At 42.8% G+C, this 18,714-nt stretch overlaps 1 protein-coding gene across 7 annotated transcripts in view; it reads left to right on the forward strand.

The window, feature by feature from the left end:
- R3HDM1 (R3H domain containing 1) overlaps window positions 1-10,487 on the forward strand; it is a 193,786-nt gene extending 183,299 nt beyond the window's left edge. For all 7 annotated transcript variants that reach the window (NM_001378107.1, NM_001354200.2, NM_015361.4 and 4 more), the window contains 4 exons: window positions 768-912; window positions 7,142-7,224; window positions 7,687-7,771; window positions 9,155-10,487. In NM_001378107.1, coding sequence (NP_001365036.1) covers window positions 768-912; window positions 7,142-7,224; window positions 7,687-7,771; window positions 9,155-9,510 — 669 coding nt within the window. In that variant the 3' untranslated portion in view covers window positions 9,511-10,487. The remainder of the gene's footprint in view (window positions 1-767; window positions 913-7,141; window positions 7,225-7,686; window positions 7,772-9,154) is intronic.
- Window positions 10,488-18,714: the final 8,227 nt, after the last annotated feature.

The following is an 18,714-nucleotide window of genomic DNA, read 5'->3' on the forward strand; positions in this document are numbered from 1 at the left end:
ACACACACAGAGAAAGCAGTGTAATAAAAGTTAAGATCATTTGGGAAATCTGGGAATTCTTTTACAATCTTAGGAACTATTCTCTAATGAAATTATTTAAATATGAAATGTTACAGTATTTAATATGAAAAAAGAGTGAGTTCGCTGTATGTATTCTCTCATGCAAAAGTATCGGCAATATTATTGCCAAGGTACAAAAGCAAGTTTTGAAAGTAGGATGTATAGTCTGTTCCCATTTTTGTGAAAAATGGATGTATGAATGCATGTGCATAGAAACAATCTGTTGGCCAGGTGCGATGGCTCACGCCTGTAATTCCAGCACTTAGGGAGGCTGAGCCAGGCGGATCACAAGGTCAGGAGATCGAGAACATCCTGGCTAACACAGGGAAACCTCATCTCTACTAAAAATACAAAAAATTAGCTGGGCATGGTGGCGGGTGCCTGTAGTCCCAGCTACAGGCTGGGACTGAGGCAGGAGGCTCAGGAGGCTGAGGCGGGAGAATGGCGTGAACCTGGGAGGCAGAGCTTGCAGTGAGCTGTGATTGCGCCACTGCACTCCAGCCTGGGCAACAGAGTGAGACTCCGTCTCAAAAAAAAAGAAAAAAAAGAAACCATCTGTTACCAGTGTTTATTTTGGGGAGTTGCAGATCACATGCTTCTATAATGTTTGAATTATTTTCTAACAAGTACGTATATGTAATCAGGAAGAATAAAAAATAAGCCTGCCCAAAATGCTGACCCATTTTCTTGACGTATTGTAATTGCAGCACAGCCCTCAACTCAGTAGCCCCATTATTTCACCAGCTCAGTCGCCAGCACCAGCTCAGCTGTCCACCCTGAAAACTGTACGTCCCTCTGGACCACCACTTTCCATCATGCCCCAATTTTCTAGACCTTTTGTCCCCGGGCAAGGTAAGTGCACATGAAACTAGTCACAACTTCAGAGAATTTAAGACATCCATTCCCAGTCACTTGGTAATTTATCTTGGTAATATTGCCTTTCTATTTTCCATAGAGCTGCATCTTCACCTACACTCAGGCATGTCTATTTGTGACCATATACCCTCCTAACCTTAATGTATCATTGCTAATTAATAATTATTAATTCAGTAATTACTTCTGTTTAGTAATTACATGATCACATTAAAATCACTTTAACTTATTCTTAGAATCCATTCCTCTATAGTAATAATACACAGTTTTCTACATTTTTTCGGTATTTTAATTTCTACTTAGAGTAATATATATCAAAAGTTTATCCAGGCCGGGCGCAGTGGCTTACGCCTGCAATCCCAGCACTTTGGGAGGCCAATGCGGAAGGATCACTTGAGGCCACTCAAGACCCTGTCTCTAGAGAAACTACAAAAATCAGCCAGAAGTGGTGGCACATGACTGTAGTCACAGCTACTCAGGAGGCTGAAGCGGGAGGATCACTTCAGCCCAGGAATTTAAGACTGCAGTGAGCTCTGATTATGCCACTGCATTCCAGCATGGACAGCAGAGCAAGACTCTTGTCTCAAAAATAAAACAGAAAAAAGAGATTATCCAAAAATTTATTCAGCAATCATTTATTAAGGAAATGGCTATGCCCTTGGTGTATAAAGATGAATAAGGAGAAGTCCTCACCCTCACTAACCCTTAGTCTACTTTGGGGAGCAGATATGCAAGCAGATGATTATAAACTAATATGGAAACCATTTTATTTCCTAGAATTTATCCTAAGGATAATGCACACAAAGATTTATATACAGAAGAGTTTATCCTATAGCAAAAAAAATTTACAAACAACCTAACTCTGTACATCAATGAGGAATACTTAAATTATGGTATATTCATACAAGGAATATTATGTAGCTATCTAAAGAATCACTAAAAGGGGGCAATATTCAGGCTAGGTGCGGTGGCTCACACCTGTAATCCCAGCACTTTGGGAGGCCCAGGCAGGTGGATCACAAGGTTAGGAGTTCAAGACCAGCCTGGCCAAGACAGTGAAACCCTGTCTCTACTAAAACTACAAAAACAAGCTGGGCGTGGTGGCAGGCACCTATAATCCCAGCTACTCGGGAGGCTGAAGCAGGAGAATCACTTGAACCTGGGCGGCAGAGGCTGCAGTGAGCCAAGATCGTGCCACTGCACTCCAGCCTGGGCGACAGAGAGAGGCTCCGTCTCAAAACAAAAAACAAACAAAAAAACAAACAAACACGGGGAGCAGTATTCACAATATGGTAAGTGATTTTGAAAAACAAGTTACACAGACATTTTGAAGTAGTATGCAGATGTCTAATAAGCCCTTGAAAAGATATTTAACATCAGTCATTATAGAAATGAATATCAAGCCAGAATACCACTTCACACCCATTAGAATGGCTATAATCAAAAAGACGGACAACACCAAATGTTAGTAAAGAATGTTCTCACTTGCCAGGCATGGTGGCTCACGCCTGTAATCTCAGCACTTCGGGAGGCTGAGGTGGGTAGATCACTTGAGGTCAGGAGTTCGAGACCAACCTGGCCAACATAGTGAAACCCCATCTCTACTAAAAATACAAAAATTAGCCGGGCACAGTGGCACATGCCTATAATCACAGCTACTTGGGAGGCTAAGGCAGGAGAATTGCTTGAACTCGGGAGGCAGAGGTTGCAGTGAGCCAAGATCGCACCACTGCACTCCAGCCTGGGCAACAAGATTGACACTGCATCTCAAAAAAAAAAAGAAGAATGTTCTCCCTTGAAAGTGGGAGCTAAACATTGATGAACACAAAGAAGGGAACAATAGACACTTGGGTCTACTTGAGGGGAAAGGGTGAGGATTGAAAAATACCTATTGGGTACTATGCTTATTACCTGGGTGATAAAATAATAAGTACACCAAACCCCCACAACATGCAAAATCCACATGTGAGTATTTAAAAAATAATGTTGGTAAAGATACAGAGCTACTAAAATTCTCACACATTGGCGGTAAGAGTGTACAGTGATGAAACCGCTTTAGGAAAAGGTATGGCAGTTTCCTAAGACTTTAATCATTTACCACATAACCCAGCAATTCCACTCCTGGGGGAAAGAGAATTGAAAACATGTTCACATAGTCTTGTGTACGAACATCTATAGCAACCTTATTTTATAATAGCTCAAACTGGACATGACCAACATGTCCATCAACAGGAGACTGGATACCCAAACAAGTTGTGCTATATCCTTAAAAGGGTACTACGCAACAATAAAAGTGAACAAAGCAAGCTACTGACACACAACAACATGATGACTCTCCGGGTCACGACGTTAACCAAAAAATAAGACAAAAAGAGAATATATTCTATATGATTCTAATTATATGAAATCCAGCTGCAGACAAACTAATCTGTTATGTTAAAAATCAGATAGTAGTAGAGATGGGGTGTGGAACTGACTGGGAAGGGACTGGAGGGAACTCTTCCAGGGATGGAAATGTTCTTTAAGGGGGTGGGGGAACAGGGTATGGTTACACGGACTTTTACAGTTGTTAGAATTCATCAGATTCAACACTTAGAATGTTTATTTTATTGATTGTATTGTATGTTAATTATATCTCAATTTCCTTAAAAACTTACACACACACATATGCATGAGTCAGCCCACACATGTAGAAGACTGAAAAGATAGACACCAAAATGTTAGAAGTGATGGAATTACCAGAGTGGGTTTTGTTGATGTTGGTTTGTTTGTTGTTGTTTGTTTTGAGACACTGTCTTATTCCATCGCCCAGGCTGCAGTGCAGTGGTGCACTTGTGGCTCGCTACAGCCTTAACCTCCCCGGGCTCAGATGATCCTCCCACCTCAACCTCCTGAGTAACTGGGCTTACAGGCACACCACCACACCTGGCTAATTTTTGTATTTTCGGTAGAGACAGGGTTTCACCATGTTGCCCAGGCTAGTCTCGAACTCCTTGGCTCAAGCAGTCTCCCCACCTTGGCCTCCCAAAGTGCTGCGATTACAAATGTCAGCCACTACACCCAGCACCAGGGTGGTTTTTATTTTCTCCTTCGTAATTCTCTATCTCCAAATTTTCTACAAAACAAATTCCTTATTAAATTTAGAAAAAAGGCTATGCGCAGTGGCTCACACCTGTAATCCCAGCCCTTTGGGAGGCTGAGGTGGGTGGATCAGGAGGTCACGAGTTTGAGACCAGCCTGAAACATGGTGAAACCCCGTCTCCATTAAAAATACAAAAAAAAATTAGCCGGGCATGGTGGCGCACGCCTGTAATCTCAGCTACTCAGGAGGCTGAGGCAGGAGAATCGCTTGAACCCGAGAGGCAAAGGTTGCAGTGAGCCAAGATTGTGCCACTGCACTCCAGCCTGGGCGACAGAGCAAGACTCCATCGCTAAATAAATAATTTAATTAATTAATTAATTAATTTAGAAATTGCATATTTTAAAAAAATAAATTGAAACAGTATGCGTCATACAGTCTGGTATGAATGCCGCAGGAGGAACACCTAGCCCAGCCTATTAGGAGGGGTCTTTGTACTGCTGACTATAATCTTATCTCCATATTTGAAAAAAATTAGCTGGACATGGTGGTGGGCACCTGTAATCCCAGCTACTTAGGAAGCTGAGGCAAGAGAATCGCTTGAACCTGGGAGGCAGAGGTTGCAGTGAGCAGAGATGGTGCCACTGCACTCCAGCCTGTGTGACAGAGCAAGACTCTGTCTCAAAAATTAAAAAAAAAAAAGGAGTTATCCATTAGATATAAATGTTTGTATACTGAAATATTTACAAGTAAAATGCTGAGATTTGCTTTAAATACTTCAGGAAAAACAAAGCAGGGGTGATCACAGTTGAACCTGGATGATAGGTACATTATGCGTTTCTATCTATACTTTTATATACTTGAAATTTTGTAGAATTAAAAGGTTTTATCTTTTGTTGAAAAATCTTAGGTGTCTTTATCTAGGGGATTCCAGAATTTTTAAGCAATGTTCTCTGTATTCTGTTAATGCTAAGTTTTTGAGCCTCATTAAATTTTTAAAATTTCATTATTGTAGCACTTAACTCTGACTTCTTTACAACTATTTTCTTTTCTTTTTTTTTTTTGTTTCGAGACGGAGTCTCGCCCTGTTGCCCAGGCTGGAGTGCAATGGCATGATCTTGGCTCACTGCAACCTCCACCTCCAGAGTTCAAGCTATTCTCCTGCCTCAGCCTCCCAAGTAGCTGGGATTACAGGCATGTGCCATACGCCTGGCTAATTTTTTGTGTTTTTAGGAGAGACGGGGTTTCACCATGTTGGCCAGGCTGATCTCGAACTCTGACCTCATGATCCGCCCGTCTCGGCCTCCCAAAGTGCTGGAATTACAGGCGTGAGCCACCGCGCCCGGCCTTCACAACTATTTTTTATACACCTTCACACTTCACTTTGCATCTCTGATCTCAGTGCTAAACCCCCATGTCATATCTGCCCTTCCATCTATAGGTTGGGAAAGAGTATGTCATGCATATGTCCTGCCAGGGAGCTGCCCAGGCATCTTCACTGTGTTCACCCGGAAGGAGCCTTGTGGAATGGCAAGAAGTCCACACCTTGCTGCTTTCTGTTATGAAGCTCTCAGGAGAAGGGGTGTACAGTTTCCTGAGGATGCTTTCCTAGCACCTACTGATAACCCTCCTCCAAACACAAAATGTACTAAATTTGAGAACTTAAAATAAATGAAAATGTAACACAAAAACCTTATTATCCAAGACAAAGTTTTTGCAGTCAGCATTTATTAAGCCTTTGCCGTGTGATGACTTCAGGCTTTCCTGAGTGATAGAAAGCAATTGGAAGATCTCCATCCTCATTAACCCACATTTACTGATTTAGGAAGGGAATACTTACGAATAATGACACTTAAGAACTACACAACTTTTTCTGAACAGGTTCAAATTATAAATGCAAATTTCACTTAAAGATTAAGAAGAGCAGACTTAAGACCTAGGATGTACAACTACCCATTGGTTAAAACTATTAAAGTGTGTTTGAGTATATGTAAATGTGTACATGCATATATTATATGCATAAATTTTTAGCAATTAATAGTGAATTGGGGAGATAAAAACTTAATGTTTATCCAGAGTTTCTTCCTTCCTCTGAAAGGTAAGATTTTAATCATAATAGAGTGATATGGATTTCAGCACCTCAAATGATTGGCATGTGTATTGTAGTTATTTTGGTGTATTTCATACGGGATGTTAGGATTTAGTGTCATAGTTTTCTTAGATTCTTCCTCTTCCATATCTTCAAAGTATCCAGAGAAGTTTCTCTCCATCCTGTCTCTATTCATGTAGTTCCTACCATGCACCCTCCTTCCTAACCACTGTTATTAGTCCTTAATCTTTTCAGAATTTTGCCTGGGCTCTTAAAAGGATATGTGGAAATTTTTAATTCTTGTTTAAAATGTCATTTAGCCAAGCATGGTGGCTTGTACCTGTAATCCCAGCAACTCATGAGGTGGAAGGATTGCTGGAGGCCAGGAGTTTGAGACCAGCCTGGTCAACATAGTGAGACTCTATCTCTACTAAAATAAAATTAGCCAGGCATGGTAGTTTGTGCTTGTAGTCCCAGCTACTTGTGAGGCTGAGGCAGGAAGATCACTTGAACCCAGGAGTTCAAGGCTGCAGTGAGCTATGATTGCACCACTGCACTCCAGCCTGGGTTGTCAACAGAGCAGTACCCTGTCTCCAAAAGAAAAATGTCAGTTATCTATACTTTTTTTATGCCACCATACTTGTTTCCCCTGTTCATCTTATTTTGAACAATTAGAAAACTCTGGCAAGTACTTTTTGTTTTATTTTATTTTTTATTTTTTTGAGACAGTCTCTCACTCCGTCACCCAGTCTGGAATATAGTGGCGCCATCTCAGCTCACTGCAACCTCTACCTCCCAAGTTCAAGCAGTTCTCATGCCTCAGCCTCCTGAGTAGCTAGAATTACAGGCGCCCACCACCAGGCCTGGCTAATTTTTATATTTTTATTAGAGATGGGGTTTCACCATGTTGGCCAGGCTGGTCTCGAACTCCTGGCCTTAAGTAATCCGCCTGCCTCAGCCTCCCAAATTGCTAGGATTACAGGCATGAACCACCGTGCCCGGCCTCTGGCAATAAAATAAAATATTTTATTGACTTTCAGGAGATTCCAGGTATCCATTACTTGGCCAGCCACTGCAGTACAATCCTCCTGCTGTTCTGCACGGACACATTCCAAACCAACAGGTAGGAAAGACAACTAACCTCCTAGGCTTTGTTGCAGAACATCATAGCTCCCTCAGAGTGTAAGGGGCAACCCTGAGCCCACCTGTTGGCACTGCCCAAGAAGAGCTCTGTGCCTCAGCCAGTTGGTTTACACAGATTATCACTGGCTCCATCAGGAGCAGAGCAAAGGAGAAGATGGTGTGCTGCTTGGCAGAGCAGTAATTCTCTAGTGCCACCCAAAGACAAGGCAGTGGCTAGGGATTGGGGCACTCTTGCTAATGAAGGACCGTCAGCAAGTGATCGGTCATAATGAAGGACAGGAATGCCACTGCCACAGGCAGAATCCAGAAGGCCTGGGACTGATTTTCTTCTGCCAGAGTGCAAAACCCAAACTAAAGGTGTTTTGGTGTTAATTTGTTAAACATCCAAAGTGTGTTTTTCAGCATTATTAACGTTGTTTCTCAACTATTTGTGGGTTTTCAGGGTCAGCCTGGCAGCAGGCATGGAAACCGAGGAAGGAGACAAGCTAAAAAAGCTGCATCCACAGACCTTGGAGCAGGAGAAACAGGTATGTCTCTGAGGGGCAACTAGATGTGGGTCTGCAAACTGGTGACAGTCTAAAAATACACCACAGCACAGAAATGGGTTTTCCTCTTCCTAGAATCCTGCAAAAAGTCATAATTTTTGCCATCTCTGATTTAGGGTTCTTGGATATGTTCCTATGACCTTGTGTCATTTGAGATGTGAGAGTATATATGGTAAGATGCAGGTAGGTTTAGGAGGGACAGAGGGGCCACAGGGAAATGTGTGAGAGGAACAAGTAGAGTGAAACTCTTAGCCTCTTAGTTCTTTGAGAAAGGGTTTGTCCTTACATCCATGTGGGAGAAAGTCTGAGTGAACAAATATGTTGCCTCTCTGTGGTAAAGTACCTTCAAGTTTATATTTTAACTTTCTACTCAGCAGCCTTGTGGTGTGGTTAGGGCAAGTGCTTTTATTTTATTTTACAATGGAAATGTGAAGTTCAGAAAAATGTTTGAGATCACCTAATTTAGAGAAGCCACTGTACAATGCCTCTTTTTATTTGTGCAACTACCAGTAAAGACTATGACATCAGTAGCTTAATTTTATTTTTTTTATTTATTTATTTATTTTTGAGATGGAGTTTCATTCTTGTTGCCCATGCTGGAGTGCAGTGGTGTAGTCTCAGCTCACTGCAACCTCCACCTCCCAGGTTCAAGCAGTTCTCCTGCCTCAGCCTCCCGAGTAGCTGGGATTACAGTCGCCCACCAGCACGCCCAGCTAATTTTTTGTGTTTTTAGTAGAGACGGGGTTTCACCATGTTGGTCAGGCTGGTCTCGAACTCCAGACCTCAGGTGATCCACCCACCTCAGCCTCCCAAAGTACTAGGATTACAGGTGCGCCCGGCTCAGTAGCTTTAACACTATTAGCCCTCTATTCCTTGCCTATCGGGTAAGTAGGAATGATTTAAAAGATGGATGTCCCTGGCCGGATGCAGTGCCTCATGCCTGTAATCCTCTCACTTTGGGAGGCTGAGGCAGGTGGATTGCCTGAACTCAGGAGTTCGAGACCAGCCTGGCCAATATGGTGAAACTCCATCCGTCTCTACTGAAAACACAAAAAATTAGCTGGGCATGGTGGCGGGCGCTTGTAATCCCAGCTACTTGGGAAGCTGAGGCAGGAGAATCGCTTGAACCTGGGAGGTGGAGGTTGCAGTGAGCCGAGATCACACCGCTGCACTCCAGCCTGGGAGACAGAGTCAGACTCCATCTCCCAAAAAAAAAAAAAAAAAAAAAAAAAAAGATGGCCCTAACAGTTTTAATTTTGTGTATTCGAATGGTCATTTCCCATGTCATATTTGGGTCTGCAGTGCTTTTTTACCCAACTTTTTTGGTAACAGGAATGTATTGATTCTGTACCTTTTCTATTCTAGTTGTTGGGAAGGTCTTGGAAATTACTGAACTACCAGATGGAATAACTCGCATGGAAGCTGAAAAGCTTTTTGGGGAACTCTTTAAAATTGGCGCCAAGATCCGGTGGCTCCGGGACCCCCAGTCCCAACCACGTCGTCACCCCCTCTGCTGTGGCAGTGGGGACAACACTGCCAACCCTGAACGCTCTAAACCCAGTGACTTGGCCTCCACCTACACCGTCTTAGCCACATTCCCCTCCATTTCAGCTGCACAGAATGCACTGAAGAAACAAATTAACTCAGTTAACAAGTTTAAGCTGAGAACAAGCAAGAAGCACTATGACTTTCACATTTTGGAAAGGGCAAGTTCTCAGTAACAGCCACCTTTGGACCCTTCGCCTTTATGGTTCCCCTGCCCTCTCCCATCTTTGATTGGCTTGGTATTTGGAGCTTCTGTTAACATTATAGAGACTCCTAGGATGTGTGTTCATGGCATTATAGCTTTTGAAGAAAGGCCAGTGATCCAGCAAAGGGGGAAAAATATGCATTTCACCCCACATGACTAGGAATCCACATCAGAATGATACAGAGTTAGCAGGTTTTTCTAAGGAAATGCCATTCAAATGCCTCCTAACTTTTATAGTTATTTTGTTTTATATTTCTAAATTCTTGTATCAGATCCAAAGCTCTATTGTACAGCAAATTATTCTTCAAAATGATTATAACCAGTTGCACCCTGTATTTCTTTTTGCAGCCAGCACAATGTGACCCAACTTAAAATTTGGGGGAAAAAGAATGCAGGAGTGAAATAACCAAGTCAAAACCATGTACTATCTCCTTGGGGGTTAGGGATGCTAAGAAGAGCCCACAAATAGAGGATTACTCTTCCCCTGAATCTCTAAACTCAGAAACAATTACCAAAAAATACATAACTCTTCCTTGTAGGGCCCTTTCCTTATTCATTTAGGTAGTGTGAACATTAAGTATAAAATAAATTATGTTCTTAATGCCTCTTAAACCACTTACATTCAAAGGGGAACAGAAATCATTCTAAGCAGGAAAATACTTCCACTTTTTTTTTTTCAAGTATCTCTCTAATAACTAAATGCCACTTATTTGCATTCTCCTTGTGGATTTTTTGTCACCTAAGGAAATGCATTTGATGAGTGCTGGAAACTTCTTAAGTGCTTTACAGTTTGTTTTCATTGTTTGCAGCGGATCACTGGACATCAAAGATTCATTGCACTTATGAACAAGGAACCTTCTTTTCAATTTCTGTGTAATTTGCAAGGCTGTACAATGTGTGCTGATGCAAGCCTTTTTCAGTTCAAGAGAATAAATGTTTACAAATATAGGCTCACTTTGTCTTTTTTTTAATTAAAAACACCTTTTAAATGAGTCAGTTTTGAAGACAATAACCTTTTTGGAAGATTTAAGTCAATTTCAGACTTACAGAAGATGAAAAACAGTAAACCACCTCATTTTACAAATGTCCTAAACATCCCTTTCTCTGTGGCAGTGATTCCTGGTGGACATGATTCGTGTTACTGTGTTGTCTATCATAAAGTTATTACCAACTGTAGAAATTTGGAGTATGAACATACTTATTGTCAGGCAACTAAAAATAGAAGGTTATGTTTGGTGAGATAAATTTGTTTTTAGCTTATGTATTGCACACCCAATTGTCCACTTAGGCTCAAACGCTTTATAGACATCTTTTCCCTTTGGTTAGCCAAGCAAAGTCACCCCGTTGGGAAATCTAAAAGGTAGGGGTCTGCCAACTGCAGCTTTCCTGGAGTCTGGTTATCTTCCAGCCCAGACTAGGGCTTCTACTATGAAATTGAAGAGCACTAGGTGTTACCAGACTCTGGTGCAGATGTGCACTCACTTTAGCACATTTGCAAGGTCCCACTGGTCCCAGAGAATGCCATGCCTCCCCACCAACTAGCACATCCCAATTGTGAATATTGTACTCCTGGGATCAAAAGTTGAAGCTGTCTTAGAACCATTTTAGATTAAGGAGCCATAGCCAGGGAAAAGAGTAAGAGTGTGAGGTCTGTGAAAATCTCTTGCTTCCAAGGCTTGTTGAATTTTAATTATTTTTGACATGCAGAGAGTCAAAGATGGAGAGGACACGTAAGTAAGGCTAGCATTTCAGCAACAATTCTTCAATCATACATGGGGATGGAGACCAAAAAAGTCACAACCTCCCATCCTGGCCAACATGGTGAAACATTGTCTCTACTAAAATACAAAAAAATTAGCTGGACATGGTGGTGCGCACCTGTAATCGCAGCTACTTGGGAGGCTGAGGCGGGGGATTTGCTTGAACCCAGGAGGCAGAGGTTGCAGTGAGCCAAGATCGTGCCACTGCACTCCAGCCTGGTGACAGAGCAAGACTCGGTCTCAAAAAAAAAAAAAAGTCACAACCTCATGGTTTCTGGCAATTATTTTTTTTTTTTCTTTTGAGACCAGAGTCACTGTATCAACCAGGCTAGAGTGCAGTGGCACGATCTCAGTTCACTGCAACCTTAGACTCCTGGGCTCAAGCAATTCTTCCTCAGCCTCTCGAGTAGCTGGGATTACAGGCACCTGCCACCATGCCCCACTAATTTTTGTATTTTTAGCAGAAACAGGGTTTCGCCATATTGGCCAGGCTGATCTCGAACTCCTGACCTGAGGTGATCCACCCGCCTCGGCCTCCCAAAGTGCTGGAATTACAGGCATGAGCCACTACACCTGGCCTGCAATTAGTTTCTCTTGAATATTCCCTTTAGACCAGGCACGGTGGCTCATGCCTATAATCCCAGCACTGGGAGGCCGAGGCGGACGGATCATTTGAGGTCAGGAGTTCGAGACCAGCCTTGCCAACATGGCAAAACCCCATCTCTACTAAAAACACAAAAATTAGCCGGGTGTGGTGGTGGGGTGCCTATATAATCCCAGCTACTTGGGAGGCTGAGGCAGAAGAATCACTTGAACCTGGGGGGCAGAGGTTGCAGTGAGCCGAGGTTGCGCCACTTCACTCTAGCCTGGGCGGAAGAGCGAAACTCCGTCTCAAAAAAAAAAAAATTATCTTTAACTCCTGCAGTAGGAATTCTGGTAAACCAGTTTTTGCTTTAAACTCTTAGTTTACCTTGTAGGAATTGAATACTGTGCAAAGTAAATAGGTAAGACACTAGAGCTAAAAAAAGATCAGAGGCTATTGTAGAGTTAACTCCTAGCCACCACCACCACATTCCCTGACAATCACATGGAAATAACAATGAAATTGGCCAATCCCACCACCATTACAAAAATATGCACACGTTCCCTAATCTACATTCCCCCCTTTTTTTTTTAATCTAAAGTCTGATTTCCCCTGTATAAAAATGGTGGGAGGTAGAAGCACACACAGGAGGCATTTAAGATGTGATTTGGTCTAGACTGGTAATCTCAAAGACAGCTTTCGATGTCCCATAGCCCTGGCAATAATCCTTATCATGGGTTTTTCCAGACCCCTGACCATTTTTAGGGGTAGATATTGCTTTTTTTTTTTTTTTTTTTTTTTTTTTTTTTTTTTTTTTGAGATGGAGTCTTGCTCTGTCGCCCAGGCTGGAGTGCAGTGGCGCGATCTCTGCTCCCCGCAAGCTCCACCTCCCAGGTTCACGCCATTCTCCTGCCTCAGCCTCCCGAGTAGCTGGGATTACAGGCGCCCGCCACCATGCCTGGCTAATTTTTTGTATTTTTAGTAGAGATGGGGTTTCATCGTGTTAGCCAGGATGGTCTCGATCTCCTGACCTTGTGATCCGCCCGCCTCGGCCTCCCAAAGTGCTAGGATTACAGGTGTGAGCCACCCCGCCCGGCCAGATACTACTTTTACCAATAAAGTGTTATTCTTTCTTGTGCCAATATTAGCAGCTCCAGCAGTCCTTTCTTTGGGAATGATAGAGGTCAGTCCATAACATTCTGTCTGTTTATGCTACTTAATATTAGAAAACTGAGAATGACTTATGGTTTGAAGCTCTTGGTTTGCAAAGAACATGGATATATTGGGTACGTGTTTGTGATCTAGAGTACAAGGTGTGTTTGCCATGGTGCCACAGGTAATTAAAAATTATTAGGTTGGCATCAGAGCTGGCAACAAAATAGGGATGTGAGCCTTTCCCAAGCTAGGAAAATGTTTTCCTGACCCCACTAGGTAGGGCCTTATGGCCTGTGAATAGTGTGGCAACACAGGCCTCTGAGTAGAACCCACAGTTCCAGATTAGCTTGGGCAGAGTAAAGTCAGCATATCTGCAGCTACCTCAGGAAACAGCTGAGTTGGATTCTCTACCTGTTACCAACAACAGAAAACATGCAAACTTAAGACTTCAGCAGAGGCAAGACCCCCTAATCCCAGACCACTGCCTGCCCAACAGATAATATGTTATCTATAGTCTCCAAAGGCTAAGGGCATGAGTTCCGTCTTCTAGGGCCCAGTGAAGTGCTAGCACAAAGGCATTATATACATGCTGGTGGGATTCAAAGCTGGCCCCTGGTTGCTTGGGATTCTAGAAGACCTTTAACAGCTGGTGCTAAAAGAACCTGAGTCTCTTGCACACACATTCAGCCCATGACCTTCACCGGCTTGAAAAACAGATACAGCTGCCCTTGAATCCACCCCCACATCCACATATGCTCAGGCTACACAGTGCATATTTGTTCATTATTTTTCCCCTCAATGTCTCTACTTGTATTCATTTTGGTTTGATTTCACCCACATAAGAATACTGGAGGGCTGTAAAGAAAAGGCAGTGGGAACTTCTGAATCAGAAAGAAAAATGATAAAAGTTTGTTCTTTGGGGGTTGAGGAAGAGGAAGCATTGAAATAGATACATTAAATAGTTTTTTAATTAATTATTTATTTATTTTTTGAGACAGAGTCTTGCTCTGTTGCCCAAGCTAGAATGCAATGGTGCAATCTCGGCTCACTGCAACTTCTGCCTCCCAGGTTCAAGCGATTCTCTTGCCTCAGCCTCCCGATTAACTGAGACTACAAGCACACGCCACCACACCCGGCTAATTTTTTGTATTTTTAGTAGAGATGGGGTTTTACCACGTTGGCCAGGCTGGTCTCAAACTCCTAACTTCAGGTGATCTGCCAGACTGGCTCATTTCTGCAAGTAATAAACTCTAATAATATCCTGTACTTCCTCTTCAAAGCATTTAGCACAATGGTAATTACATGAGTAATTGGCCAATTAGTTGCTTACTGTTTTTCTATCCATCAGAATGTAATCTTTAGGACAGGGAAAATGTCTGTTGCTTCTGTTTACTAATATATCCCTGGCACCACGAGTGCCTTTCCCAGTAAACATTTGTCCAGTGATTAAATGAACAAATGATTTGGCAGAGTCAAATGCTTTGAATGTTTTTTCTTTTTCTTTCTTTTTTTTTTTTTTTTTTTTTTGAGAGTTTTGCTCTGTCACCCAAGCTGGGAGTGCAGTGGCATGATCATAGCTCACTGCAGCCTCAACCACCAGTGCTCAAGCAATCCTCCCATCTCAGCCTTCCAAGCAGCTGGGATTACAGGTGTGAGCCACTGCACTGGCTAATTTCTTAAATTTTTTTGTTTTTCTTGTTTGTTTTGTTTTGTTTTTGAGACAGAGTCTCACTCTGTCACCCAGGCTAGAGTGCAGTGGCACAATCTCGGCTCACTGCAACCTCTGCCTCACGGATTCAAGCAATTCGCTTGCCTCAGCCTTCCGAGTAGCTGGGACTAAAGGCGAGTGCCACCACGCCCGGCTAATTTTTTGTATTTTTTAGTGGAGATGGGGTTTCACTGCGTTAGCCAGGCTGGTCTCAATCTCCTGACCTCGTGATCCGCCCGCCTCGGCCTCCCAAAGTGCCTGGATTACAGGCATGAGCTGCTGTGCCCGGCCAATTTTTTAAAATTTTTTGTAGAGACAGGGTCTCACTGTGTTGCCCAGGCTGATCTCAAACTCCTGAACTCAAGTGATCACCTCGGCCTCCCAAAATTCTGAGATTATAGGCTTGAGCCACTGTGCGCAGCTGCTTTAAATCTTGAAAGGCATATATATGTATATGTATATACATACATTTTAACTGCTTTACATATGTTAGTTATTAGTTATTTCTGACAGCCTGCCAAAATCTTGCATATATATATACATATATACATTATATATATACATACATACATATGTATATATGTGTATATATAATGTATATATGTGTGTATATATGTATATATACACGTATCTATATATACACATATATATTATACATATGTATATATATGTGTATATATGCAAGATTTTGGCAGGCTGTCAGAAATAACTAACATATGGAAAGCAGTTAAATACTATGTGCCAAGCACTTGCTAAGCACTTACAATGGTCTCTATGTGATTGATCATCACAATAGCCCTAAAGGATAAATTATATTATTACCCTAGTTTACTAATGAGGCAACTGAAATGTCAGAGAGGTGAGGAAATTTGCCTAACGTCTCAGCTAATAAGTGATGGTGGTATTCATAAACCAGGCAGGCTGACTCCAGAGGTCATGGGCTAAACTATTTATATTACTGCTTCAAGCCTTGCTAACGCAGTAGTTGCCATTTTTGATTTGGCTTATTCACCTGGATCTCTATGAGAAGCCAGAGAGGAGTACCATCCTATCTTACATGTGAAAATTTGATTGTTGTGAGTGAAGCTTGGAACTTATTTATTTATTTATTTAGAGACAGAGTCTTGCTCTTGTCGCCCAGGCTGGAGTGCAATGGCACGATCTCGGATCACTGCAACCTCCGCCTCCTGGGTTCAAGTGATTCTCCTGCCTCAGCCTCCCAAGTAGCTGGGATTACAGGCGCCTGCCACCATGCCCGGCTAATTTTTGTATTTTTAGTAGAGACAGGGTTTCTCCATGTTGGCCAGGCTGGTCTCAAACTCCTGACCTTGTGATCCGCCCACCTCGGCCTCCCAGAGTACTGGGATTACAGGCGTGACCCACTGCGTCCGGCCCTGGAACCTATTTAAATGCTGCTTCTCTTCTTTTTTTATTTTATGCACACCCATGAACCTTATGTGGTAATTAAACTATTCTCCTACTGGTCTACAGGTGAGTGATGATGATGCTCTGTATAATCTATCATATTAAGCTTTTTTTTTTTTTTTTTTTTTTGAGAGAGTTTCGCTCTGTCACCCAGGCTGGAGTGCAGTGGTGCGATTTCAGCTCACTGCAACCTCCACCTCCTGGGTTCCAGTGATTCTCCTGCTACAGCCTCCTAAGTAGCTGGGATTACAGGTGCCTGCCACCATGTCTAGCTAATTTTTTGTATTTTTAGTAGAGATGGGGTTTCACCATGTTGGCCAGGCTGGTCTCAAACTGCTGACCTCAGATGATCCACCCACCTTGGCCTCCCAAAGTGCCAGGATTACAGGTGTGAGCCACTGCGCCCGGCCATATTTAGCATTTTTTATACTTCTCACTTTCACTCAAGAAAAAACAAGAACAGACAATAATATTTTTCCTTTACATGGTTTTTATACAACCAGCTTTGCAACATGTAAGTTATAAAGCCTTCTCTGGTGGTAAGCAGGTACAGGCTTCTGTGGGACAGAAAATGTTTTTTTTTTTAAAGCATGATGTGAGACTTTATATTTCAAGGTGATGTTACCAATCCAGTTTCAGTAAGAAATGCCCTTTGATTTCTTTTGAATGACTACAGTTAAGAATTCAGTTTGTGGTAGGTTTTTCTCTGTGCAAATTAAAATAGAACCTTAGTAGTGGGAAACCTTTGGCCTCAATGACACTAGTAACTCATTCATTTGGCAAAAAATACAAGACACTGAAAATAGAAAAAAGACTGAGGCAGGTCGCGGTGGCTCACGCCTGTAATCCCAGCACCTTGGGAGGCCAAGGCAGGTGGATCAACTGAGGTCAGGAGTTTGAGACCAGCCTGGCCAACATGGTGAAACCTTGTCTCTACTAAAAAAAAAAAAAATACAAAAACGTCCTTGTCATCGTGGTGCGCGCCTGTAATCCCAGCTACTCGGGAGGCTGAGGCAGGAGAATGGCTTGAACCTGGGAGGCAGAGGTTGCAGTGAACCGAGATCGCGCCATTGTACTCCAGCCTGGGCAACAAGAGTGAAACTCCATCTCAAATAAATAAATAAATAAAAGAAGATTGAGTAAAGCTATTGTTTCTTTTTTTTCTTTTTCTTTTTTTTTTTTTTTTTTTTTTGAGACGGAGTCTTACTCTTGTCACCCAGGCTGGAGTGCAATGGTGTGATCTGGGCTCACTGCAAACTCTGCTTCCTGGGTTCAAGTGGTTCTCCTGCCTCAGCCTCCGGAGTAGCTAGGATCACAGGCACCCGCCACCACACCTGGCAAATTTTTTGTATTTTTAGTAGAGACAGGGTTTCACCATGTTGGCCAGGCTGGTCTCGAACTGACCTCAGGTGATCCACATGCCTTGGCCTCCCAAAGTGCTGGAATTACAGGCATGAGCCACCGCGCCCAGCCAAAGCTATTGTTTCCAAACTCTCTTCCTGGGGAAGAGAGAAGATATAAACCCAGAACTTTAAGTAACTATATAAAATAAAATGTTCACAGGATGTAAATGACCGTGAGAAACTGCGCTCTTCCCCAGGATGTGATGGAAGCCAGTACCCAACAGGTATGTGAAACACTGGCCAATGCTGTGAGTACACTGATGCCTGTCCGATGCCAGCTTCACATGTACAGCAGCGACCGCAAACTCAAAATACTCGCTATAGCCTGAGTGTAAGTAAATGGGTGAAGCTTAGTAGTGGGAGGGGCTGTGGCAAAGTAGAATGCACATGACCTTTCTACAACCTTTTGCAGACCCAGTAAGAACATCAGGAGACCAGACACAGTTCATAGATCTCACACTGCCAAGACATGAAGAGAGTTAGAAGGGCCCTGTGTGAGGTAAACTGCTGCAGGGCCTCCACGGAGCAAACCAGAAACAGCACACAGTGATTGGTCACAGAGGAAAACAGGGAGATTTCAAAGGTGGAAGGCCAGGGGCTCTATGGCAGGCCACATGGGATGGTTCCCCATCTTGCCCTGGGACCACCATGAACAACCTCTCTGGCTTGGAAGACAAAAAGCAGGACTTTGAGAATGCACATTGGGGTCAAGCTGATGTGGTGAGGGTTCTTCCAATGGTCACAGAGACACCAACTGAAACCTGATCTTCCTCTTCAGCAGCTCTAGACCTGGTAACCAGCCTAAGCCCCAAGACCCCTCAGAGAAGAGCTCATTGCAATGAAACCACTCATTGTGTATCAAAGAAGCCCACAAAACCTTGGGTCTTAGCTCACGGGAAGTCTTTTATCTCTAGAATTAAGGGTTTGCACTGGGAAGGAAAATAACAGTACAAACCATGCCATATTTTTACTGCTACACAGCAGTGAACAAACTTCTGTGGTAAGGGCCTGAGTGTAAAAAGTTGCTGTAGTTTGTGATTCAGGTCTGTTTGAAAATTGGCGTTGATGCCACTTCCCTCAACAGGCCACCACTCACCTCTCCTTTCCCTCTACAATAACCAGTACATGGCTCTTTCATTTT

Source organism: Homo sapiens, chromosome 2 (genome assembly GCF_000001405.40).
Source record: "Homo sapiens chromosome 2, GRCh38.p14 Primary Assembly".
NCBI lineage: Eukaryota > Metazoa > Chordata > Mammalia > Primates > Hominidae > Homo > Homo sapiens.